This window comes from Homo sapiens, chromosome 1 (assembly GCF_000001405.40).
Source record: "Homo sapiens chromosome 1, GRCh38.p14 Primary Assembly".
In the NCBI taxonomy this organism is placed as follows: domain Eukaryota; kingdom Metazoa; phylum Chordata; class Mammalia; order Primates; family Hominidae; genus Homo; species Homo sapiens.
Genome location: NC_000001.11, coordinates 107,765,888 through 107,791,878, shown reverse-complemented (window position 1 = coordinate 107,791,878; position 25,991 = coordinate 107,765,888). Strand labels below are relative to the sequence as shown.

At 38.8% G+C, this 25,991-nt stretch overlaps 1 protein-coding gene across 12 annotated transcripts in view; it reads left to right on the top strand.

The window, feature by feature from the left end:
* Window positions 1-25,991, top strand: part of VAV3 (vav guanine nucleotide exchange factor 3) — a 394,020-nt gene that overhangs the window by 173,302 nt on the left and 194,727 nt on the right. For 8 of the 12 annotated variants that reach the window (XR_007063680.1, XM_017000053.2, NM_006113.5 and 5 more), the window contains 6 exons: window positions 12,387-12,445; window positions 14,583-14,648; window positions 19,036-19,144; window positions 21,151-21,243; window positions 23,370-23,438; window positions 25,329-25,432. Coding sequence is in view for 11 of the 12 variants with exons in the window: in XM_017000053.2 (XP_016855542.1) it covers window positions 12,387-12,445; window positions 14,583-14,648; window positions 19,036-19,144; window positions 21,151-21,243; window positions 23,370-23,438; window positions 25,329-25,432 (500 nt within the window). In the remaining variant the exon portion in view is untranslated. Of the gene's footprint in view, window positions 1-5,238; window positions 5,284-5,344; window positions 6,422-8,872; window positions 8,892-12,386; window positions 12,446-14,582; window positions 14,649-19,035; window positions 19,145-21,150; window positions 21,244-23,369; window positions 23,439-25,328; window positions 25,433-25,991 lie in introns of those variants that run through there. The other 4 variants (XM_005270360.3, XM_047430555.1, XM_017000055.1 and 1 more) reach the window with 3 other exon arrangements.

The window sequence follows — 25,991 nt, the reverse complement described above, 5'->3', positions numbered from 1 at the left end:
TGAAAATACAGAAATCATGGGTTTTGTGAGATTATATAATACTAATCACTTAACCTAGTGCCTGATAATCATAAGCACTCAATAATTATTTGCTGAGTTAAAGAATGGAAAAAAACAAGCTGATTCTCTTGGACCTCAGGGTTTCAAAAAGCTATTCTATTTAAGCCTGTGATTTTCAACCCTGGCTGCATACTAGAATCACTGGAAAGCTTTAAAAAAATTCTCATGCTAAGGCCCCATCACAGACTATTTGAGTCATATTCTCTGAAGGTAAGGTCTAGACATTAGTGTTTTTCAAAAGCTCCACAGATGTTTCTAACATTCAGCCAGGGTCTCTGCCATCTGACAACCATGTTTGTGCAGTTGTCTATCTTGCCCTAGTTGAGTATGCTCTGAAATGCCCTTGAATGTATTTCCTCCTTTACATTGTGGTGCCTTGGGTTCACATGTGTACTCTATCACCTGAACTATTGCAGCAGTCTTTTTTTTTTTTTGATATCACCAAAAAAAACTTCCTTTTAGTTAATCTATTGAACTGCCAGCACAGTTCTCCTAGAAAACAAATTAGAATGTGTTACTACCCTCCTTAAGAACCTTACCCGTAGCCTGTTGAATGAAGTTCTGAGTTTAATGGGGCACACAAGGCTATTGGCAATCTGAATCTACACCATCTTAAGATACATGGGAAGTCATTACTGTAACTTGTCAAGTTTGATAAATGCAGCCAAATCACAGCAAACATGCCCAGAGTTAGGAGGTATATATTTTGGTGTCCATTTTTGCCACACACTGGCCCTCAAACTTTGGTGAGACTATCGATGTATAGAACTCAGCATCTTTCCCTGTTTGGAAGAAAGAACAAGAAGAAATACAGCTTAGAAATAAGTGGAAGGGGCCAGGTGCAGTGGCTCACTCCTGTAATCCCAGCAGTTTGGGAGTCCGAGGCGGGCAGATCATGAGGTCAGGAGTTTGAGACCAGCCTGACCAACATGGTGAAACCCCGTCTCTAGTAAAAATACAAAAATTAGCTGGGCGTGGTGGCAGGTGCCTGTAATCCAAGTTACTCAGGAGGCTGAGGCAGGAGAATCGCTTTAACCTGGGAGGCGGAGGTTGCAGTGAGCCAAGATCATGCAACTGTACTCCAGCCTTGGTGACAAAGCAAGACTCTGTCTCAAAAAAAAAAAAAAAAAAAAAAAAAAGGAAGACATTTAAGGAAGGAGTGATGTAAGACACTGGAAAACATTTGTACTTTTGTATGAAAATGCTGTAGCAGAAGGCTTAATCACCCCATTTGTCATTCAGACCTCAATTCCCCTGTCCCTCAGAGAACTTACCTGGAACCCTTAGATGGAGACATATTCCTTCTTCTCCTCTCCTCTGGCACTGTGTGCCATTCCTCTGTAACCCTTCTCACCTGTGTAAACACGTATGTGCATTTTTGTGACTATTTGCTTGTCTGATTCCCAACTCTGCCATGAATACTTTGCAGGCAAGGTCTTGTCCAGTTTTCTCAGTGCATGTCTACAGGGCTGGGCCTGGCATGTGGTAGGTGATGAATTTCCAGGTGGGTGACCATTGGGTTGACTGACTGAGAAAATAATCAAACAGTTGATGTGTGTAGGCAGTGGGGAAATGGGAAGCACATAAGGCCTGTGTGGAAGGATATTTTCCTCTTCCCTCCAGGGCTGGCCACCTTTTCAGGGTCCCTTTACCTTTCTTCTGGTTCCACTGAAGAGGCCATGGGCTTCTAGAAGTGTAGGCTTTTCTCTGCTTTGCCCATATCAAGCTGGGGGGGCTTTGGGATGGCATGTCACGCTATGCTACCACCTGCGTCTGTGGAGTCTTCTAGCCAGTGTGCATCTGTTTTGTTTCCCATTGTGTTCTGGGTGCTCTGAAGGGTTTTGTGTAGACTTGTACCACTCAGTATGGTTGCTATTAACCACATGTGGCTACTGAGCACTCAGGTTGTGGCTAGTCTGTATTGACATGAGCTGTAACTGCAATAGACACATGGGATTTTGAAGAGTTAATATAAAAAATACTAAAACATCTTGATTTTATATTGGTTACATGTTGAAATGATAATATTCTAGGTATCTTGAATTAAATAAAATATATGATTAAAATTATTTTTACCTGGTTGTATATTTTTCTAACATGGCTTTTAAAATATTAAGTTATGTATGTGACTTACACATTTCTGTTGACTAGCTCTGGTCCAGAAACTACATTTCTTACATCATGAATTCATTTATCTGCATTTCATTTGTTCAGGCACATATGAAAATGAACACTTTCAAGCAGTGTATGAAATGACCACTGTTACCAAACCAGCGAGAACACAGACTTTAAGGACTGTCATTTTATTCTCCTAGTCTGGTAGGCAGTCATAACTTCTGTTAGATGGTTTGAAACGTTTACAGATGCTTCATGATTTTCTTTGAGCAGTCCTGAGGCTGGGACAAAAGATGGAGCATCTTTGGGCTGGAAATCCATGGCATGTTCCCCACGACGAGATCCTATCGTTCTGGCCTTTTCTTTCTGAGACTTTCTGCATTTCATCCTTTGAAGTGGTAATAGCTACGGACAACATTCAGGAAGCAGTGATCTTTGCCAGTGAGTTGTGTGACTTTGACAGCGAGCTGAGTTTGGAAAATGTGTTGACTTTGTCCCAGCTGTGTGATTGTGGGCAGCTCTGAGCATTCGTTAAACTTTCTAAGTCCTTTAGGTCATATGGAACTCTCCAAGTCTATTTCAGATCACATCAACAGTTTCTCCTCTGGCCTGACATGAGCACATGGGGCATGTCCATTCAAAGGGAGTTCATGTGAAAGTTACAGTGGCTTTCCAATCAGCTGGTGATGATGCTGTCTGCTGTATCCCCAGCCACTCTGCTGGAGTTGCTACTGTAATGGTTCAGTGACTAATTGGTGTTTACCTACAGAGTCTGTAAATACATTCCCATTCTTGGTATTGAACATATTAAAATTGCCATGTAATCTTTGTAGCTTATTCTCTCTACTATCTGCTTAAAGGCAGAGAAGGATTTGCAAATATGATTACATTTTCAAAATGAAAGTGTTTCTTTTACGGTTGTGTACTAACAATTCTTTATCATTTGCGTACTAAGTTTAACACACTCTAACAGACCAGCATAAATTTAGGCAGAGCAGGGAATATTTCTATCTAGAAAACTGTGCTTTCAGGCAGCTAACTGCATGGATGAGTTCCAGGTTTTATCTACTTTGCTATTTGGACCGGGGGATGGTAAAACAGTGTATGAGGAAAGTTTCTTACTGTCTTTCACTTGGTGAGAGAAAATTAGTATTGCTGGTCCCAGTTTGCTTTTTTCTGCTTGCTCTTTAGTGGGAAAGTGTTAATTTTGAAATTGCATCTGTAAATTATAGTCATGTGAATTTTGTGCTCTGCTGGAATTTCTATGTGTTGGCCTGGAGTCTGTCTGGAGCACAGCAGGCAAAGCAGTTGGGTGTGGCTGAACATGGGAGTGTGTGGAGAGTGGGCAGAGTGAGGGTGGAAGGGGCAGGGCAGCAGCTCCTGGGGACTTCTCTGAGTGTACTGCTAAGTAACTGGCACTCTGCATTTAAGAATTTTGGGGCTGGCATGGTGGTAATGGTGGTATGATCACATTAATAGTTTTGAAATGTCATACAACCTCTATGGTAGCCAAGTAGAGGATGAAATTGAAGGGAGTGAAATTGTAGGCCTGGAGACATATTGGAAGCTATTCCAATAATTGAGGCAAGAAATAGAGAGGGCCGAGACATAGCAGAGGCATGGGAGGAGAGAAGGGATTGGATCTGAGAGAGTCTGAAAAGGATGAATTGACTGATAGGATTTAGACCTGGCACTTACTTCCAGAAAGTTTCCCCAATGTCTGGCCAGGTGAAGGAGAGGAGTGGGATTGTGGGGTCATTGGGAATGGGGAGGAAAAGCAGGCTAGGAGGAAAAGATGCTCTGTTTGGGGTCTTCAGAGGCAGAGTGTTGAGGTCAAGAAGGCAGAGACGGCAGGACCATAGTGGTGCGGAAATGCCTAATGAGGCAAGTGCAGTCCTGTTTGCTTTAGAAAAAATTTGCTCAATGACCTTCTTTCTCTCAGAATCTGAAAAATATCCACTTTTAATCAAATAAGAAATATATCATTCAGAAAATGGCAACCACAAAAAGCTTCTCAGAGAATAAGGTGCAAGTGAATCTACTTAGAATACACAAGTATTCTCACTGGAGTACGATGTGATGATGAGAGGGGTGGGCCAGAGACTGGTCATTCTTGCCCATCAAACCTGTATCAACCTGAAGAAAGAGAGTCTGGCAAATGTCCAGGTGCCCATCAAGATGCAGACTAGGATCACCTCTTTTAAAGATGCCTTTGAACCCCTCTAGCTCCCTCTGCCCACGAAGGGGTGCAACTGGCCTTGCTGTCTCCCCTGGGCTTCAGATGTTGCTTGTCATACTAGTCTGTGTTTTCCCTCAGTACCCTTCATTGTTATGGTCTTTCCTAATAGACTGTTGGTTTTTTGAGAGCAGGAAGCATTGTATCCTCATTTTGCTCCCTGAAGCTTTTGGAGTGTGTGTCTGGTGTATCTAGCACAGAATGAAGTGTTCAGTAAATACAAGAAACTTATAGAAAGGGTAGTGAAGTGGAAAGAGCAATAACCAGGACAGAAGAAAAGGGACCTGGTACTAACCCTGCTACTATTAGTTGTTTAACCTGGAGCAAGCCAGTTTTTCTGGGCCATGGTATTCTGATAGGCAAAGGAAGAGATTTAGTGAGAATCTGGAAAGTCCATAAATGGTCCTTCAGAGGTCCCTGGATTTCTTGATATTAGATGCAGACTTTATATGTGTTTTTGTGTGTGTATGTGTGTATGTGTGTGTGTAGATAGGTGGGTTTAATTTTTTGAGTAAATGAGTGATAGCTTTCATCATACTCTCAAAGGGATCTATAACAAAATAATAACCACTGAATAAAACATGATATCTCTAGAATTTGTAAGATAGAGTTGTGGGGCCTGGGTATAGGCATTCAGCTAAAGGACTTGTCTGGAAATTGCTATGAACAAACACACCCTAGTTACACAGATTTTTGTGTTTATTTGGAGTAGAGAGGTGTGGCTTCTCTGAGCCCATCCTGTGTACTATCCTTTCTTAGAACTCTTTCAGTTCTATGTGAGGTCACACTCACATTTTGTTTTCTGAAGTACTTTACAAAGACCAAATCTGACTTTACCGATGATGATGAGGATGATGACAATGACAACAAAGGTGATGATGACGTTAGAAATAGCAGCAGAAGTATAGGACATTCTTCTATGTGCATATATCTGTCTGTCTGTCACCTCTTTAACGCTGAAAGTAAACTTGTTTGATAAGTGATGTTTTAATTGTAATTTCGTAGGTAAGGGAACTAAGGCACAGAGCCTTGATCATCTTGACTCCCGTCCTTACCTTGCTAGTAAGAGATGGAGCTGGTCTTTGAACCCAGAAAATCTGACTTCTGAGCCTGCACTTCTAATCAGCCCAGTATATGGCTTTTTTTTTAAAGGAAGTTCTTGTTCTCTGTAGTTTCACTTTTGAAGATTCAAAAAATAGTAAGTATAGAATACTTCTTAAATTTATGATTGTTACCAAGGACAGCACAAACTATAATTTGGATCCATTTAACCTATATAGATACTCTACTCTCTTGAACAATGGAAATGTATTTCCCATAGTTTACAGTCTTCCTGACATAGAAATGTTTTGTTGATCTTATCTGGCTGTACTGCTTTGCTTTGCCCATAGAGGAGGTGCTAAGGACATTTTTCAACAGCATCCCACAGATCAAAGCAACAAGCAGGTGCTTCAGGAAATCCCTAAGATGTGTTGCTGGAAGTGACACTAAGCTGTAGTGTATCCTAATGGGGGTAATTTACTGTGTGAAATTAGAGTTTCGAAGAAAATTATGATAATGAGTTCTGTTGATTTCCTGGGAGAGTTAAGGTGAAACATGTTGTTAGTCTGAAATTTACCATCTGGTCTGGTTTAGAATTAGACCTAATTGTCAGATAACCTGGTGTCTGGGATGCCTGGATAGTATCAGGTCTCTGGGGTGCCTCTAGCTTGCAGTTGACCTGGTCTACAGACTATGCTTCTGTCTGAATTTCTCCACCCAGCACTCATGCCCACACTCCCAGTTCCCTCTTCTGGGGCCCAAGTTTTTCTCCACAACCCCACAGGGCACTTGCTCTGATCCTTCAGAAACCAGGATGCAACATCTGTGCCTTGAGCCTCTGCTGCTAGATAGCAACCTAATGTTGTAGGGGTGTGATGCCGTGGACCCCTTCTTGAACCCCCAAGCTCGTCTTGCATTTGGGGCTCTAGCATGCAGCTGCCTGATTGCCCTTGCAGAGCCCACCTCCCTGTAAGTACCCTTTCCCTCGGAATTCCTTTTGAACCCAGGTTGTTGTTACTGAACCCGGCCTTTCCTTTTGGGTCTGGTATGGGTTAAGTGGTGAGATTTCAGAATAGAGAACTCAAGAAGATAAATCCATAATTAATTAGCAACTTTTTGGCAGACCTACATGTTGGTCTCATGGCTTCCTCTGGTTACTGTGGCTGTGCCTTTCTTAACTCAGGACCTTAAAGGTAGCCATAACATACTGCTCCTGCTTAGATGACTTGTTTTAATTACAAATAACATCAACAGCACTAATGTGCTAGAGAAGCAAAGAGTGGACATTTGCCCGAATGTCTCATGAAGAGAATAGTTTAAAATGGGTAGTTTTATCAGTGTACAATATCACCAGTCTGTTTTCAAAAGCTGTTTTATTTTGTGGTTTTTAAATTAACTAAGGGATGAAAAAAATAAAGAGCTAAAACAAAATAAAAATCATCATTGGTTGAAAATGTTTCATAGGGGAACATGTCAGTATGTTTGTTGGCTCTAGGTTTGAGTAAATAGACAACACTGTCTCATATTTAATGTTTAATTTTCACAATGGATTCTTCAACTATTCATTCTCCACTTGTGCCAGGTTGAGCCCTTTACATATCTGGACACCTATTATCCCTAATCTTTAAAACAATTTAGCAAGGTATTACTCTTTTATTTGTTTAAGCCAGAAATATTTTTGTGTTAAGTGGTTGCTGTGAGCCTGTCTGTGAACTAGGTGATGGAAATACAACAGTGAAGAATCACTTTGATTCTACTGCCCTTAAGAAATTTTCCGTTGTCAGATTGAAAGACCAATGAACAGATCACTGGCACGGCTTATGTTTTTATATACTCTTCAGGGGTGTCTAAATTTATGCAGATATTTTTCATATTGAAGCAATATTTATGCAAATATATTGAATATCATGCCTTTTGTCCTAGTCATCCCATTTAAAAATCTTTCCTATAGCAAAATCTGCACATAATTGAAAAGATCTTTGGCGAGAAAAATAATTGCAGATTTTGCAGAAAAATGTTGAAAAAGCTCATTGACAAGAGAATGGCTAAATCATTGCTGTTTATATACACTGAAATGTTACACAGCACTAAAATGAATAAAGTAGATGTATACATATGACATGACTCTGCTTTATTGTTAATGACAAAAGCATGCTGTAGAAAAATCTGTATAATAGGAATACATTACTTAATAAAGCAAAGGAAAAAAGAAAAACTCTGCCAGAGTCATACCAGATTTTTAGCTATGGTCCCATTTAGGCAGAAGAGAGAGGAGAGGTGTGAAGGGCATCTTTTATGTATTACTGTATTATTTCAGCCTGACAAAGTAAACATGTATTCTTTTGAAATATATATATATATATATTTGAGATAGGGTCTTGCTCTGTCACCCAGGCTGGAGTGCAGTGGCACTATCTCAGCTCACTGCAAGCCCCACCTCCCAGGTTCACACCATTCTCCTGCCTCAGCCTCCCAAGTAGCTGGGACTACAGGTGCCCGCCACCATGCCTGGCTAATTTTTTTTTTTTTTTTTTGTATTTTTAGTAGAGATAGGGTTTCACTGTGTTGGCCAGGATGGTCTCGATCTCCTGATCTCGTGATCTGCCCGCCTCAGCCTCCCAAAGTGCTGGGATTACAGGCGTGAGCCACCAGGCCTGGCCTGAAATATTTTTAAAAGCCAATAAATTTTCATTTTAAATGAGGTGATAGATGCTACGGTGGAGTTATGTCCGGGGTCCTATGGGGACACAAAGGGGACACAGACCATGGGCCAGAGAAGGCTCCGTGGAGGAGTGGGTGGCCTCACTGGGTTCAGGATGGTACATGTCCACCATGTAGAAGACACAGAGAGAACAAGGGCTTCTTGCTTGGAAGCATCCTGGAGGCTTTTCTGGTAGGCGGCCTTGGGGCTGTCCACCTCCAGAGCCTTAACAGCTAGCCCAGGTCATCCTGGGTTCTTCTTCCCTTAGCCCTCACAGAGCATCAGCTACTATTCCTGAACACTCCTCCCATTTCCACTACTTTCCTGTCTACTGCAGCCATCTTGGTTCCAGTGCCTCACCTCTCACTTGGGTGGTTGAGACAGCCCCCTCAGTTGGTCTCCTGGCCCCTTCTCTGTTCCCTATGTCCTCTACCCCAGTCTGCCCTTCACTTTGCTTTAAAAAGGCAGTTTTGACCCTGTGATTGTCCTTTCCACACTTTCTCAATGGTCCTTCCTAGCTTCTGGAATATAAGCCACCCTTCTAAAGCAGATTTGCAGAACCCTTTGTCTACCTTTCCCACCTGCCTCACAAAGTAGCTCTTATTTATGCTATCCAGGATGATTTTCATTTCTTTACAGATGCCACTCTTCTTACTCACCAAAGGATAGACAAAGGGAAAGAAAGAAAATTCATGACATGGATTTACTCTAGTTGATTGTTGGCCTATTGACCTGCAGGTATTGTTACTAGCTATGTCTGTTTCTGGGAGTTAATGTATCTCAGAATTTCCTATTATTTTGTGGTAACAAGTTAGAAATTAATATATTGCAGGAAAACAGTCTTCTTAGTGTCCTTGGAGATGTTTTCTTTTGTAAAAATTCTTGAATGGATGTTTCCAGTGGCAGGTCAGAATCCCCACAAAGAGGATTTAAGAATCTGGCATTAGTTTGTATACTTGTCTATTCCAAATCCGGATACGCTTCGCCTTTATAGAATACACATTGTTCTAAAAACACCGCATTGACTAAACAGTCTTTATTTGCTTTGGCTAAACTTAGAGTTAACGGATGGACTCAGTGTACAATAGCATAGACACAAAACTGAGTGCCAGTTCTCACTCACTTTGGGATACACTGCATGCTGTCTTTCCATTCCTCCTCATTTGCTGCATTTGTATATTTGTTATTTTTCTGTTAGTGAATAGTAATAAATAACTCCTGTTAAGCAGAAAATAGGAGTTGGTCTCAGCTTGTTGATTTTCAGAAATGTTTGTCCTTATAAAACACATTCAATTCAGGACTAAACTAATAGACTATCATCTGGCTCCCTCTGGTGGACACTCATGAAAAAAATCAAGCTATAGTTTTCTGAAAGAGGCGGTGTGTAGGGGAGGGGTTGTCATTTTTCTGGTTTTTGGTGGGGGAAAAGGAATAGAAAATGCATTCTGATTTTGTAGATACATCATAGTTATTATAGAAAATATCCTCAAGGAGTAAAATGCATTGCTATATAAAATACATAATAGAATAGCAATAATAAAAGACATAACCGTAGTACTGCTATTGCTATTTTTCTTGTTATTAAGTAGTGATATATGCTGGGACCACAGTGTAAAGTAGAATCAGAGGCAGATTTCACCCCATAGCTTTCTAACAGTGATATATTAGGATAAGATGCATGCTAAAGTAAAGCAATGTAGTTAATTCAAGGGTCTGGATACTGTACTGATTATTCCAGAACCTCCCCAAAGTTAGACTTTTCGCTTAATAGTGAATAATTTTGGTATTTTAGCAAGTGACTATTTTTATTTTGAATTAGTTATTTTTGATAAATTTATTAGTATTTGTTCATTCTTGATCTTCTGAGTTTACAAACTCACTGACAATGTTTTATCTTTATTATGGGGAATTAATCAATATCAAGTTTTATCTGATTGGTTGTATATGTTTTGACATTAGATGTTCGACATAGTTGACCAGGAAGAAATTGCATGAAGGGTTTCAATTGTATTTTCTTTTCTTTTTCTAGTCTCACAGCAGGGGGCTACGGTTAGAATATACAATTTTGGGGTCAGTAAATTAGCTCATCTAGTCACCATGTCCTTTGCTTCTTTCTAACCCTTTAGAACTATCCTAAAGAGTTTTGCTCCCTTCTCTTTTGTTTATGTAACAAATTTTCTTAATTTTTTAAAAATTAACAAATAAAAATTATATGTATTGATCTGTGCAACATGTTGGTTTGAAATATGTATACATTGTGGAATGGTTAACTGGAGCTAATTAACATATGTATTGCATCACATCTTTTTTATTTTATTGTGGTGAGAACGCTTAAAATGTAACCTTTTTGCAGTTTTCAAGAATGTAATACATTGTCGTCATCTATATGTAATTCAATTAAATGTTATCTTTGTATAATAACTTTATTTTACATGATAATAAAAATTCACATTTACTGAGTTAAGCATATGATAGGCATGATCTCATTTAATTCTTTTAGTAACTCCATGAAGCAGTTAGCTATTATCTGCATTTTACAGAGGCTAGTAAAGGTGAGCATAGCTGAAAACTTGTGAGTCAGGGCTCCAGGTATTCTTACTCCAAAGCCAGGAGTTTCTAACTACAACCATATATATATATGGTACCAGTTCCTGAAGTGGGTGAGATATAAGTGTATGTGTGGCTGGTACTCTCATGAACCTTCTACAGAGTACTGGAGAGACTTCATTTTTATGTTCCTGTCTCTGAAGTAAGGAATTAGATTACCTTAATTTAGAAACAGATTTTTGCCTTTTCTCGCTTTTTACTATCATTCTGAATAAGCCTCATGTAGAACCTCTTTAAGTTGTGTTTGTTAAAATTTTGAGAGTTAGGATGCATTATATCTATTATCATAAAAATAAACTTTATGGCCGGGCACAGTGGTTCACACCTGTAATCCCAGCACTTTGGGAGGCCAAGGCAGGTGGGTCACTTGAGGCCAGGAGTCCGAGACCAGCCTGGCCGACATAGCGAAACTGCATCTCTACTAAAAATACAAACATTAGCCAGGCATGGTGGTGTGTGCCTGTAATCCCAGCTACTTGAGAGGCTGAGGCATGACAATCACTTGAACCTGGGAGGCAGAGGTTGTAGTGAGCCAAGATCGCACCACTGTACTCCAGCCTGCACAACAGAGTGAGACTCTGTCTCAAAAAAGAAACAAACAAGAATAGACTTTATGAGAAAAATACATTTTAGATAAATGGCTTTCTCACTAAGTCTTCGAAAGAGACAATCTTAGGACAAAAGATTGAAGGAAGGGTAAAGTTGCTAGCAGAGTATATTTAACATTTAGATTTAAGTACTGAAGATCTTTATAAGGAATCTTTGAAACATAATTAAGGTTAATTTAGAAAACTTTTTCTGAAAACACTCAGAATTAAATTAAGGCAATTTCCTTAAAGTTGGTGATTATACAGAATAGCTACTATTTAAATAGTTTACGTGCTAGCTTATTTAATCCTCACGATAATGTAATGATTGTTAATAATCTAACTATTATTATAGGCATTATCTAGAAGATGAAACAAAAGCTCAGAGAAGTTAAGTATTTTGCCCAAAAGTACTTGGCCAATAAATGGTAAGCTGAGGATTTAGACTCAGGTGGTCTGGCCCAAGAGCCCGCCCACAGTCTCACCTGCTTTGCTATATAGCAGGACTGTCCAATAGAACTTTCTGTGATGATGGAAATTTTTTGATAACTGTGTAGTTCATTACAGTGGCCACATGTGTGTGGCTACTGAACACTTAAAATGTGGCTAGTGCAACTGCAGAACTGGGATTTTTGTTTTTAAAATTTAAATTAATTTAAATAGCCTCATGTGGCTAGTGGGTACTATACTGGAGAATACAGCTTTCCAGAATCTTTCAGATTCTGTAAAAGTAGAGATACAAGTTGCTTGGGGCCACCCAGGCTAACTTTGTGTTATACTGATATAGAATCTGCAACTCAAATGGGTTAGTAATCTACTTAAAGTAATAAAGTAATTTATTACTTTAAGTAATAATTATAAAATTATAATCCAGGTGTTTATACTTCCCAATCACAGCCCTTCTCATTCTGCACATCTTTGACACCTGCAAATTTATGTTTCTGCTGCTATGGTTAATATTAGATTGAAAAAATTTTGGAAAAAGAAATCTTATATTTTCTGAACTACATATCTAATTAGTATTTTCCTCTTTTCTCAGGTTATAGAAACATTATCACGACTTTCTCGAACACCTATAGCATTGGCCACAGGAATCAGGTAAGCTCTGTTTTCGTTGTTCATGTGTCCCATTGAGTTCAGTGTAATGATTCTTTATTAAATGGTTACTATTTGTGAAGCATCTTGCACACAGGTACTATGTCTCATTCATGAAGAGTGCCTGGTATGTAAGTATCCCGTACACGTTTGAAATTAATTGAGCAAGGTAGAACTTATTGATAGAGTTGAATAACACATTGGCTAAACATTGTTCTCAATTCACAGGTGACTGTCACTGGTGTGGTTCTTCTTTTTTTTTTTTTTTAACTTTCCTCCAACATTTCTGTACATATGATTCATTAAAGTAAACACAAATGCTTAAGTAAATAAATATTTATAAGATGTTGTAATATGTTTATTTCCTATAGAGTAGATCATAATAACTCATAGCTTTTAGGAGTTTAAGAAATAATCAAACAAGTATAAAACATGTGTACAAGAATGTGTATTGAAGGTTCAGTAGTAAATTAAAAACCTGGAAGTAAATTGGTTAAATATAGTATGTCATCTCCTTGCAATAGAGTATTATGCAGTTGATAAGCATAAAAATATAGATGTGTATGTTGTGTTGAGCCTTTTCTGTTTCAGATACTACATACTTAAGTTAGATCAGTCAGCAAAGATGTATTATATAAGTAACATTAGGAAATAAAGCAAAACAGTCTCTACTCAGCCTGGTTTCATGGAAATGGATCAAATTTGTTTTTTACCTTCTTTATTCAGTGCTCCATATTTCTGTCTCTGGCCATCACAGCCATTTTTCTGTGTCCAGCTCACATTCACATTCTAAGGGAGAGAGGATCCAAGCAGGACTTAGTGGGGTTCTCTGCACTGGCTACAAAGCACAGTGAGCTCAGGAAAAATGCCCTGCTGGTACAGGACCTTTCTCAGAAATGGGCCATGAATTTGGCAGCTTTCTATGTATATGGTCTGTCGGCTGGATAAATGTTTAACTCCTAATTTGCTCTTCAATACATGCATACCTTTCATGTCAATATATATTTTATGTTATTATATGTAAAGATTTTTTTAAAGCATGATCAAATTTTTATGTATTGATTCTGAAAAAACGTAAGTCAAAATTTTTCTCCTTTTTTTCTCATCTATATTTTCTACAATGAACTTGCATAATAAAATGTGCCTTAATTTATAAAAAATGATTATGAGACTACATTTCTCACACACTGATTTATTTGAAAAACCTAGTCTCCTCAAATGTCTTCAGTATTAAATTAATCCATAAGTCAATGTGAAACTCTGCTTTTAATATAACTAGTAATTATTTAAAGCTTATTTATTATTTTGATGGATCCTCTGGTTTTTATGAAACATGTGATATGCTGGCTGCCTGAAAAGAGTAGAATTTTTGGCACAGTATGCTTACTGTGATTTTGTTAGACATAAATTTAAGGCAGTTATGAAAAAAGGACATAGTACCATGATGCAAACAAGGAAGCCACACAGTGGGAATAGGAGATACATTAAAGGTGATTTTCTTGAATAGGGAACAAAGAAAACACTCTATTCACCCCAAGGTCTGGTTGACTCATTTGTCTAATAAACGAAAATAAAACATACAGCTTAAATACCCTAAAGTCTGAGCAGAAATGTCAGGGTCAATGACCGTATATGTAAAGGGCACAATGTTTTTGTCTTCTACTAGTTTTCATCTACACTAGTGAACGGAGCCATGGAAGGATGATTGCTACCAAATTATTTGTTATCAGATCCCACAGCTGAAAAGAGAGGGTGCTGAAGGCAAGGGTACATGCACAGCTGTTTGTTGTCTGACTTGGGGTGCTGCAGTGGGTGAGGTGACCCTGCAGGTATGTGGCAGGTGGGAGATCAGATAAGCACGTTATTATGACCCCCTGCACATGTGACTGTGGTGACCAGCTGTAATTGCTTCAGATGATTTCAGGTGGCAGGTGTTACAGCCTCCCTAGGGGAACCCCAGACAAAGCCACTGAGCAGGCACTTTAGGGAAAGCCCTAGATATTGTTAGACATGGTGACTGATCTGACCATTTTGGCAGCAGACAACTTACATATTTAGTGAGGGTTAAGTGCGCAGCCTGATTGTTGCTCGTTCACTCATGGGTTTGTTTTTTTGTTTTTGTTTTTTCTCCTCTTCCTAGGCCCTTCCCAACAGAAGAAAGCATTAATGATGAAGACATCTACAAAGGCCTTCCTGATTTAATAGAGTATGTTGAAAATTTCAAGCAAAATTTAGCCACTGCCAATTTATGTGTCCATTGTGGGTTTTAACTGTGGATGTTAAAGTAAGCTATCTGAAGGAGGAAAAGTGGCTTAATTACTGATTAACCTTAAACTGGCGATGGAAAGCTTTACAAGAAAATGTACTTCAACTGGTTTTTAGTTCCTGTTTTGTGTCCCCATGAAGAATAAAGAAACTTACTCTAATGAAGTAAAATTTCAAAGTTTCTCAAAGGCATAACAGAAGTAGTAGATAAAACTGGAGTTAGGGAACAATTTAAAAGAAATAGAATCTGCTGCTGGAGTTGTGGGACACATAGTGCATGCCTTATAAGTTCAAGGAAGGGAGAGATAAGTGTGGGTTGGAGCTATTCGGGATGTTTTAGTAGGCGGTGTTTGTTCTGAACAGAGAATCTTTTTGGGCTCTATTATTTAATAGTCAAGAGAGGCAAAAGGTCCTTGCAGCCGATTATCTTCTGCTGATTGAGTGACTTGTACAGATTACAAATAAATATATGCGTGATCGTTACTCCTCAAGGAACTGATGACATGGATCAGGCATGTTTGCAAAGAATCATAATAAGAAATAGATTATGCCCCAAGACAGATTCAAATGCTATGGAACTTCATCCATTCATTCATCTATCCTTCCTCATACACCCAACACACTGGGCTTGTTTTAGCCTTGTGACCTTTACACCTGCTATTCTTTCTGCCTGTTTGACTGATCCCTCAGCGTTCAAGTTTTTGCTTAGATTTCCCTACAGAGAGGCCTTCTCTGACTATCCTGTCTAAAATTGCCACCACCCCCTTACATTGCTGTGTTTTTACAGCATTTGCCAATGCCTGAGACAGTCTTGGTTTGCTTCATTTATTGTTTGTCTCCTCATTAGAAGGTACACTTTTGTGAGGTGTGGGACTTTGCCTTGTTCATGGCTGTATTCCTAGAACTTCACAGTGTCTGGCATATAGTAGGTACTCAATAAGTATTTGTTTTCCAAATTAATAAGTCAAAACTGCATCTAGCATCTACTGTTTGCCAGGTATTACACCTGGCAATAATAATAAGAGCTTACTGAGTTTCCATTTGTGTGCTAACCAGGTTATATGCACTATCTTATGTAATACCACAATATTACTAGGTTGTTATTATATCTTCACAGTTTAAAAGTGAGAAAACTGAATTTTGAAAAGCCTAGTTACTTGCTGAGGGTAATATTGCTAGTAAATTGTAGTCTTTGGATTTGAACTCAGACACCTCTTATTCTAGAGCAGAGGTTGTTAGTCACAGCCCCAACTTCCAGATCCCTCTCAGAGCTTTTAGTAGAAGAGTAGAGGGGGTGAGCACACCCACTGCAGTCACACGATGGATGGCCAGCAGCTCTTTCCAGGGTAGGTGGCCTTGAGAATGATCTTTCAGTCTTATATTTTAAATATCTATTAAGAGTAGTTTCTTATCTCTTAAAATCTCTAAGAACTCACCAACAGTAAGCAAGATAGTGCCAGTTGTTTTATTGAATTGGTTGTAATCTTCATAAAGTGACTAAGATTATTGGTAATGTACTCAGATTGTTTAAGGGGAATATTTAATTTCTAGTGCCGTGATGCTATTCTTTTTTTTTTTTTTTTTTTTTTTTTTTGTGACTGAGTCTTGCTCTGGCACCCAGGCTAGAGTGCGATGGCACGATCTCAGCTCACTGCAACCTCCACCTCCTGGGTTCAAGTGATTCTCCTGCCTCAGCCTCCCAAGTAGCTGGGATTACAGGTGCCTGCCACTGCGCCCAGTTAATTTTTTATTTTTAGTAGAGACAGGGTTTCACTGTGGTAGCCAGGATGGTCTCGAACTCCTGACCTCATGATCCACCTGCCTTGGTGTCCCAACGTGCTGGGACTACAGGTGTGAACCACTGTGCCCAGTCGATATTCTTTTTTAACCCATACCAGTGGTGACTTACACCTATAAATTTTTATAGCTTCCCCATTTTGTTCTTTTCACTGTTATTTAGGCAGACATGATGTCAGGATAAATCCAGTGAGGATGCATTCCTAGCTAAATTTGGAGAAAACCTTGGTTTCCTGAATTGGCTGCTCTGAGATGCCAGCCCTTGCTCTGTGAGAGGCAGTCTGCTTTAAATTTCTACCTGGTGGCCGAAGGTCCGAATGTATTTGCAGGATTAAAGAAATTATTTATTTAATATGCCCAGGCTGGTCTCCAACTCCTGGGCTCAAGCAATCCACCCACCTTGGCCTCCCAAAGTTCTGGGATAAAAGGTGAAGTAGGGTTATCTTAAAAAAAAAAAAAAAGCAAATGTATTATCCCTAGACATGCTTGGTTTTGAGTTTGCTGTGACAGCTTGATTTTTATTCTCAGCTTTATTACAATTTCTATGGGTAAATATACTTAACTCTAAATTTTGGGGCTGCATTCACCCAAACGGAAGCCCTTGGAATAAATACTGGCCTGGTCCCCACTGTGGAGGCAATCATTGTTTCCTAAGTTGGGGAGAAAGCCACAGGATGGAGTGGAGAGGGCAGGTAATGGCTACACTGTACAGTGTCCTTTTAGTATCAGGGCGCCAGACATGCCCGTATGTAGGTGGCCTTACATGTCGATTGTTTTTGATTTATTGACCATTTGAAAAATATCACAGCTTTTTTCTTTCCTGGCTCAGAAATCAGGAATTGTTGACTAAGCTGTTAGCAAGAAAAGCAGCTTTAGTAAAGGATTGAATAACAAAAGCCAAACAGTTCTAGACCAGTCTTGTGTGTGTGTTTGCGTTTGTGCACTTGCATGCACGCATGCACTCACACATGCATGTCATTCTTACAGGTCTTAAAATAGAGAAAAGTCAGCCAGGCGCGGTGGCTCATGCCTGTAATCCTAACATTTTGGGAGGCTGAGGTGGGCAGATCACCTGAGGTCAGGAGTTTGAGACCAGCCTGGCCAACATGGTGAAACCCTGTCTCTACTAAAAATACAAAAATTAACTGGGCATGGTGGTGCGTGCCTGTAATTCCAGCTACCCAGGAGGCTGAGGCAGAAGAATCGCTGGAACCCAGGAGGTGGAGGCTGCAGTGAGCCAAGACTGCACCACCGTACTCCAGCCTGGGCAACAGAGTGAGACTCTGTCCCCCAAACAACAACAACAGCAAAAATAGAGAAAAGTCTGTGCTAATTTATATGATTCATTCCTTTACTGTCATGGGAAATAGTGAAATGTAGGACTTCAGCAAGGTTGACTTTTTTGCAGGGGTGGTGATGTTAGGGATGACAAGCAGGAGTTCTGGGATTAGGAGTGCCAGGGAAATGAATTTCAGTCCATTTTGCTTCCAAACAGGATCCCCTCCAATGCAGAACCTGTTTTTTCATCATTTTATATCTCAGCTCCTTCATGAACTCACCAGACCTTCCTATCCTTTGATGTGGTACAGAGAATGTGCAAACCGATTTACCTGCCCTAATGTTCTCTGGCCAGATTGCCGCCTAAACCCCTCAGTATGGAAATTATGTTACTGCCAATATGGATCACCATCTCCCTGGTGTCCCAAAGTAGAAAGCTCCTTCCTCTTCCTTCCTCCTCCCTCCCTTATTCTCAGTGTTCACCAAGTCTGGTTGTCCCAGTCTCCTATCTCTGTCTGTTCCTCTCCTCATCTGTCTTTATGTTAGTTATGGCCCTGAATATAAAACAGATAAAGGAAGGGTCTGGTTGATGGGGGACTGGTGGGTTTCCTCTGAATGGGCTTGAAAGAGCATGGGTTGAAAACCACTGGATTAGATGCTGATTATAACACTGCAGTAACTGATGCTTTTATAAGACCACTTATGACATATTAGATACAATTTAACTCTCCTATCTTCTCCATATTATACCCATTAATACAGTTGATGAAACTGAGGTCTTGAAATATGAAAAGTGGGAGGCAGTATGATAGAGTGGGTAAAACACTCAGCGTTAAGACAGACTTGGTTTTAAATATTGGATCTGCCAGTGACTACCTGGGTTATTTGTAAAGTCAAATAGCCTTTTGGTCTTTCAACTTCCTCATCTCTTTAATGGATTAAATAATAATGCACACCTGATCATTAATGTTGGATGAATTATGTAAGATAATATATGTAGAATAATTATTTTTGTGCTTATACATAGTAACTACCCAGTAAATGATGGCTGCCACTGCCCTCGTTATTGGATTCTGTAGTTGTCATTGTACCTATTAAGAGGGACAAAGTTGTAATGTAAACCTTTTGAACTCTTTCCACTAATTCCATTTTATTTCCTTTCTGGATTTTTTACTAAAATCCAGTAGGCTATTTGTAGCTATTGCATTTACTGCATAATAGAAAATGACCTTATATGATATCCTTTGTTGTAGTGAAACCCTTGTGGAAGATGAAGAAGATCTCTATGACTGTGTTTATGGGGAAGATGAAGGTGGAGAAGTCTATGAGGACTTAATGAAGGCAGAGGAAGCACATCAGCCCGTAGGACTTTTACTTGTTTTTAAAGTTACTCTGAATATTTTATTAGGAAAGGCTAATTAACATAATAATTTATGTAACATCTGCTGGGATTTTTTTTAACCTTTGCTTGCTTATAACTATATAATTATGACTTGTTACTGCATTTGGAGACATATGCATGACCTTTCAGAGTTCAAAACAACCATAGGGAATCTTTTGTCTAGTCTTTTCATTTCGCTAGTAAGGAAACAAAGTCTGAGAGAGAAATGAAGTGCCACCCAGTTAAATAATGGCAGGGTGGTAGTAGAATAGAATTTTAGGGAATCATGAAATTATACTCTTATAAAAGTAAATTTCTTACAACACAGGTAAATTTTTCCCTTTAAATTTGATATAAGATAAAATATATATTAAAGAGTATTTCTTCACATTTGTTAAGTGTTAATATGAGGTACCATTTTTCTTTTGTTTCATGGTAAGTCTCCTGGCTTTCCTACTCATTTATAAATTTAGTTTCAGATATTGTCATAGCCAATATGAGCCCTCAAAACCTTATCTGCTATTAATATATCCAGAACATTCAGAAAGGATTACTTTGGATTATTTTCTCATTTACAATTTGAAACAACAACAGAAAAAGTCAGTTGCTTAGGTTCTTAATAACTTTTTCTTGTATATTAAAGACTTTTCTTTACCAGCTGCTTGGTAATTTTTGTTTCCACAGTGCTTTGATGAATGCGCTTAGCTCTCTCTATGTTCCTACTGTTAATAAAAGGCTGATGGGCTGTCCAGTAGCTTCTGTGGAATGGAAACAAGTTACCTGCCTGTGTTTGAGGAATATAACGCAAGTGTGGTTTAACCATTGCATAGGCTGACAGCCCATCTGTGGCAGCATTTTCAGAACATTTTTAGGTGACCGAATATCATCTGTGCCTCCTGTAATTGTTAACTGCATTGAGTGCTAGTGCATTCTTCACTGTCTCCCGCAAGGGCAGTCCTCACTCAGCTGATGGGGTGAACAGTGATAATAATTTAGATGGGTAGGACTCTTCTTGCGCACTTGGAAAAGTGCTAAGTGCTTTATACTGTTTATCTTATTTACCATTCCTTGGGGTTGGTACTGTAATTCTCTCTGTTTGACAGATAAGAAAACTGAGTCAGAGAAATTTAGTGATTCATTCACAGTTAGAAAAGCTAACAACAGGCCGGGCGCGGTAGCTCGCGCTTGTAATCCCAGCACTCTGAGAGGCCGAGGCAGGCAGATCATGAGGTCAGGAGATCAAGACCATCCTGGCTAACACGGTGAAACCTCGTCTCTACTAAAAAACACAAAAAATTAGCTGGGCGTGGCGGCGGGCACCTGTAGTCACAGCTACTTGGGAAGCTGAGGCAGGAGAATGGCGTGAACCCAGGAGGCAGAGGTTGCAGTGAGCCGAGATCGCGCCACTGCTGTCCAGCCTGGGCGACAGAGCGAGACTCTGACTCAAAAAAAAAAAAAAAAAGCTGACAAGAAAACTGGTGTTGAACCCAATTCCATCAGATTCCAGAATCTTTGATTTTAGTGTTGTGCTCTATGACTTCCAATCTTAAATACTTAGTTAAAAAGTCAAGCAGTAAGATGTTAATGTTGGAAAAAATATTTGAAGGTCTTTACTTACTTTGCCAAATACCTTTTTATTGTTTTTGCAGTTATTTCTATAGTATTTGTTAAGTGTGCTGTACATTAAGGAAATAATCATACACCATTTATGGTGTTTCCAACTTTATGAACATTTTAGTAAGAGATATTTTAGAGTGTCTACATTCAGAGGCTTATTTTTTAATCATCTAAATCTTTGTCATTACATTGTTCACGATTTTTATAAAAACAGCAAAGATGCCTCACAAATGCAGTTAGATGTCTTTCAATTATGTGTTGTATTAGAAAGGAAAGTTTAAGAAAGTCAGCAATGCTTTTGATCTCTACTTCCCGATAGGTTAATATATGATTTTATTAAATCATTTTATTTTGATAATTCTAACTGCAGAAATGTCCAGAAAATGATATACGAAGTTGTTGTCTAGCAGAAATTAAGCAGACAGAAGAAAAATATACAGAAACTTTGGAGTCAATAGAAAAGGTAAGTCATCAGGTATTATTTTTGATGCCCAAATACTGCCTAATATAGTTAATATATTAGACTCACTGTTTCTTCTGAAGGTGTGTATGTGTATTATAATTTTTAGGAGAACTTTGTACTTAAAGATCTCAAAGCAGATTTATTCATTTTACAACTATTTATGGATGTCTTAGTACCTGAGTGGCACTGTTTCAGGGACTAAGGATATAGTAATAAATACAACAGTATTCTGATTCTCATGACACTTTTTCCCATGGGAGGATTAGAATGTAAGCAAATAAATATGCCAGATGGTCATAAGTTTTCTGAAGAAAAATAAGGCAGGGGCATAAGATAGAGAGTGATGGGGGGGGAGGGCTGGTGGCATTTTATAAAGAGTGGTAGCAGAAGCCCTCTGTGACAAGATTAAGTGGGCAGCTAAGTGAACTGAGGGTATAAGCCGTGTACATATGCCAATGAAGATCATTCCCGAGAGAGCCCCTCTGATTGGAAAGTGTTCAGCATGTGCTTCAAGGGCAGCAGCAGTCCAGTGTGGCTGGAGCAGAATGAGGGAAGGGGACTGAGCATGAGGTGGGAGAGCTGGTGGGCTTCTAGGCCATGCAAGGACATTGGGAAGGGTTGTGAGCAGAAGTGACATGATGTGATTTAAGTCTTTAACCTCTCATTCTGGCTCTTCTGAGGCAAGAGTGGTAACTAAGAGAAGAATTAGAAGAAAATTGTGTTAATCGAGATGACAAAAATGGTGGTATAGGTGGTCAGATTCTGAGTAAATTTTAAACATAGAACCAACCGGATTGGATGATGAATTAAGTAAAGGATGTGAAAAAAAGAGAGGAGTCAAGGATGACTGTAGGTTTTGGCATGAGAAACTGCATGAATGGTGAAGATTACAGGGGTGGGGAAGGACAGGCTTGGGAATCAGGAGTCTGTTGGAACAAGTGAAATTTGTGATACCTATTAGACTTTGAATGGGATTTGTTGAGAAAGGTGTTAGGTATATGAATCAGGCATTAAGGGGAAAGACTGAATTGACAAATAGATTGGGCCATTATCATCACACAATGGCATTAAGGCCCTGGGACTAAGTGAGATCACCCTAGTGAATGCATGTTAGGGAAGAGGTTTGAGGCCAGCTCTCCAGACTCTCACATTTAGAGGTTAGGGAAAGAAGTGAAAGTATGCAAGCATTATTTAGAAGAGTAGAAGAGTAGATTGACTAGGGAACTGTAGTAGCACTATGTAGCGTTACAGGCCCAGTTGAGTTTTGTGGTCATATTGAAAATTAGACGATCGGTAATGTCCATGCTTAACTTCTTAGATAGAGTCACAAAATATGTGGCAAGTTAGACTTGATCAGGGTGTTTGTTTTTCTAGAAAAGCACAATGGAAGAAGAGAAGGTAAGGGGATTTACAGGGAAGTGATTCATGGAGTATAAACTCGGTTAGGAGGGAAATGAGGATATGATGGAGGTGGGATGGTTAGTGGACTGGCTGACCCAATTCCTTGAAATTAGTGCTATGAAGCATATGAAGTTGTTGATAATGACAAGGTCTGTGAGTATGGCCATAAGATTTAGGAGTTGAGCTAGAGTGGAGCACAAGATTATTTGTGGTCAAGGAACTGAGAGACCAGTACTAGAAGGATCCTCTGCACAGATACTGAGAATGCCGAGAATGAAAGAGATATGGTAGGCCAGAAACTAAAATTCTCAAGGAATAATTCATAAATTGCATACATAGATTATTGATCTCAGGGATCTAGAATCTCCACAAAACATTTGGGAGATATTACTGTGTAAGTCTTCATATACATCTCCAAAATGTTGCCATTTTTTGGCAACTCAGACAATAATGTTCTTTTCTTCCTTCCTTTTGGAAGCATTTATTGTCTAAACCATTTTATTTTATACTTTAAATGTATTAATATTAGCTCGTATTTATGTTTTTATATATCTATTCAAGTGTAAAGTCTTTAAGTTAGAGAAAATAGTTTCTACAATTTTGGTGTTTATAATGCTGATCAACAATTGACTTTCAAAACGTATTTGTTGTTTGTTGATGAAAAACTATTATATAGATTAGGACAAGTTATACTTAATTACTATTTTCTTCTTCTTTCCTGGTAGTATTTCATGGCACCACTAAAAAGATTTCTGACAGCAGCAGAATTTGATTCAGTATTCATCAACATTCCTGTGAGTAAAAATATGCTAGCTAAAATTGTGGTGTACTTCAATAAAATCTTCATTTCCTTAGGGGGTTCCAGATCCCTATTTTAATACTCTTTTGTATTATTTAAGAATATTGGCCTTATTTATTTATTTTTTGCTTTTCCAGTTTTTATATCCTTATTTTCTTGAAATAACTGATGTATCATATCTTCAACCAAAAGTCAGTCAACATGTACGAAGAACACAAATGGAAAAATAACTTTCATGTGTTATTCTTAACTCTTTGTCATGAAGAGGTAGTCTCAAATAATCTGGGGATCCACTTCCATCCCCACACTTCCCTGCGGAGCTCTGTTGCTCTTCCAGACCCTCAGACCTTGTCTTGTAGGTGATGTCCTCACCATATCAGTTTCCCCTACTTTCCTCCATTCCTCCACATCTTTGACTTCTACTATTTGGTGCTTTCTACTTCCAGTTGTATCATATGTAACTCCCATTTATGAAATACCCTACTTCCTTATGATTTACCAGACTATTTTAATTGTAAAATTTGAGGAGATATTTTTCGTTTACATTTATGTAAGCATTTCAAGTTTCAGGGCACCTTACCAGAATCTTACAATCTTAAAAGGATATTTGCCCAGAAATCTAGAAGCAAGCTAAATGTCATGCCAAGTGAGGTAATGCTAGGCAAGATTCAAGTTCTCAGACCTCTAGGACTTGCTTTGGTTTATACATCCCCACCCCCATGCACGCATGTACACATACACTGATAAATGTATATAAGCTTTTATTCACAGACCTGCTTGTATTACCTGAACAGTTCTTTGTGTTTTGATTCTATTGTGTTCTGTGTTGCTGAGTAGCAGTTGGTAAGCAATGGCATGTCATCCTTGTCCCTGATTTTGGCCGAATGAGGACATTCTTGTTGATTTATAACATGCACAATATCAGCTGAAGGTTTAGCACTAAATAAACTGCACATTTGGGGAAGATAAGGATCTTGAACCACTTAAGTATGGTCTTTATAACTTAGAGCCCACATCTTCATGTTTACTTTCTACACCACTAAGGAGAGAGCATGCTGTGGAGTCAATGTGTGCTCCAAGGTACACAGGATGAGATAATGGGAGAATTGGCACCTAGTTCAAGTTGCCTCATATCCTGGCTATGACATGTATTTACTGCCTGACTGAAAATTAGTTGCTTATCGGGAAAAATGTGAAATTCTGACATTTTGAGTTGCTCTGGTAAACTGTCGAATACAATTTATTTGCTCCTTATTTATGCCATTAGTTGCCTGATTTCAAGTAATTTAGTCTGATTATTGTTAGCTTAGCACCAGGACACCACTAATTGACCAAAGTACAAATTTACATGTTTGTGTCACAAGGACATGAGTCATTATTTTATCCTGTCAATAAAACATTAGGCACTTGGACAGTTTTATTTAAAAAATTTACAGTGATTATAAAACAAAAATAAGCTATACATATTTTTACACAAGGAATAAATTATCCTTTAATAACTAGTGAGATAATTTCTTTTTTCACAGGATGCTGACATTTCAACTGAGATCTGAAATTGCTGTTTCCCATCTGCATGGCCTGTCTCCTTCTCTTCTCCTCCCTCTCCTCTGCCTTCCCCTTATCTTCCTTCTTTTTTCTCCTTTCCTTCCCCTGCTCTCCCTCCTCCTCTTCTACCCTGTCCTCTCCCGCTGCTTCCTCCCCTTCCTCCCCCTTTCTCTCCCCACTCTCCTTTTCCCTCTCTCTTTATTGGTGGAAGCAGTTTTATATATTGAGAGCATTCAGCATATCCTGAGTGGCAAGTCTAGCAACTAAAAGGATTCTGGGTTTGGGGTGTATTTTTTGGTTGTTATTCCTACTTTCCTTTCACATTGTTTTCTTTTCTTAGGAACTTGTAAAACTTCATCGGAACCTAATGCAAGAGATTCATGATTCCATTGTAAATAAAAATGACCAGAACTTGTACCAAGTTTTTATTAACTACAAGGAAAGGTAACTTTTGAAGTTTAAGTTTTGTGGGTCTTAGCTTGTAATTATAGTGAGGATTAGTATTAAAATAGCTAACAAATAGCTATTACTGCTGTTTATTACATTACTACCTGAGCAGTAATTAGAACGTGGGACAATTACTTTCAGAGTAGTAGTTTGAGTTCTATATATGTAATTAAAAAAGAAAAAAAGAAGAAGAAGAAGGAGGAGGGGGAAGGACCCAGTATGGTGCTTATTTTTTTGCATCGCAAATCAAAAGGCTAAGTTTCTTTTACAGGCTTTATCATTACTGAGCGATGTAATCTTCAGTAAGTCATTTTAACTCTCTGAGCCTCTGTGTCCCCATCTGTAAACACCGGAGGTAGATTAGCTGGTACTTAATGCTTCTTCCACTTTTCTTCCAATTCTGGTATTTTATGACACTCTATTTTGGAGTATTAGATTCGCAGAGTCAGTTTCCCTTTCTAAGTTAAAAAAAAATCTCCTGACAACCTATAGGAATTGGAGTATCAAGAAATTTTGCTTAAAATATAATTATCTCTCTTTTCAAATCAAGCAACGT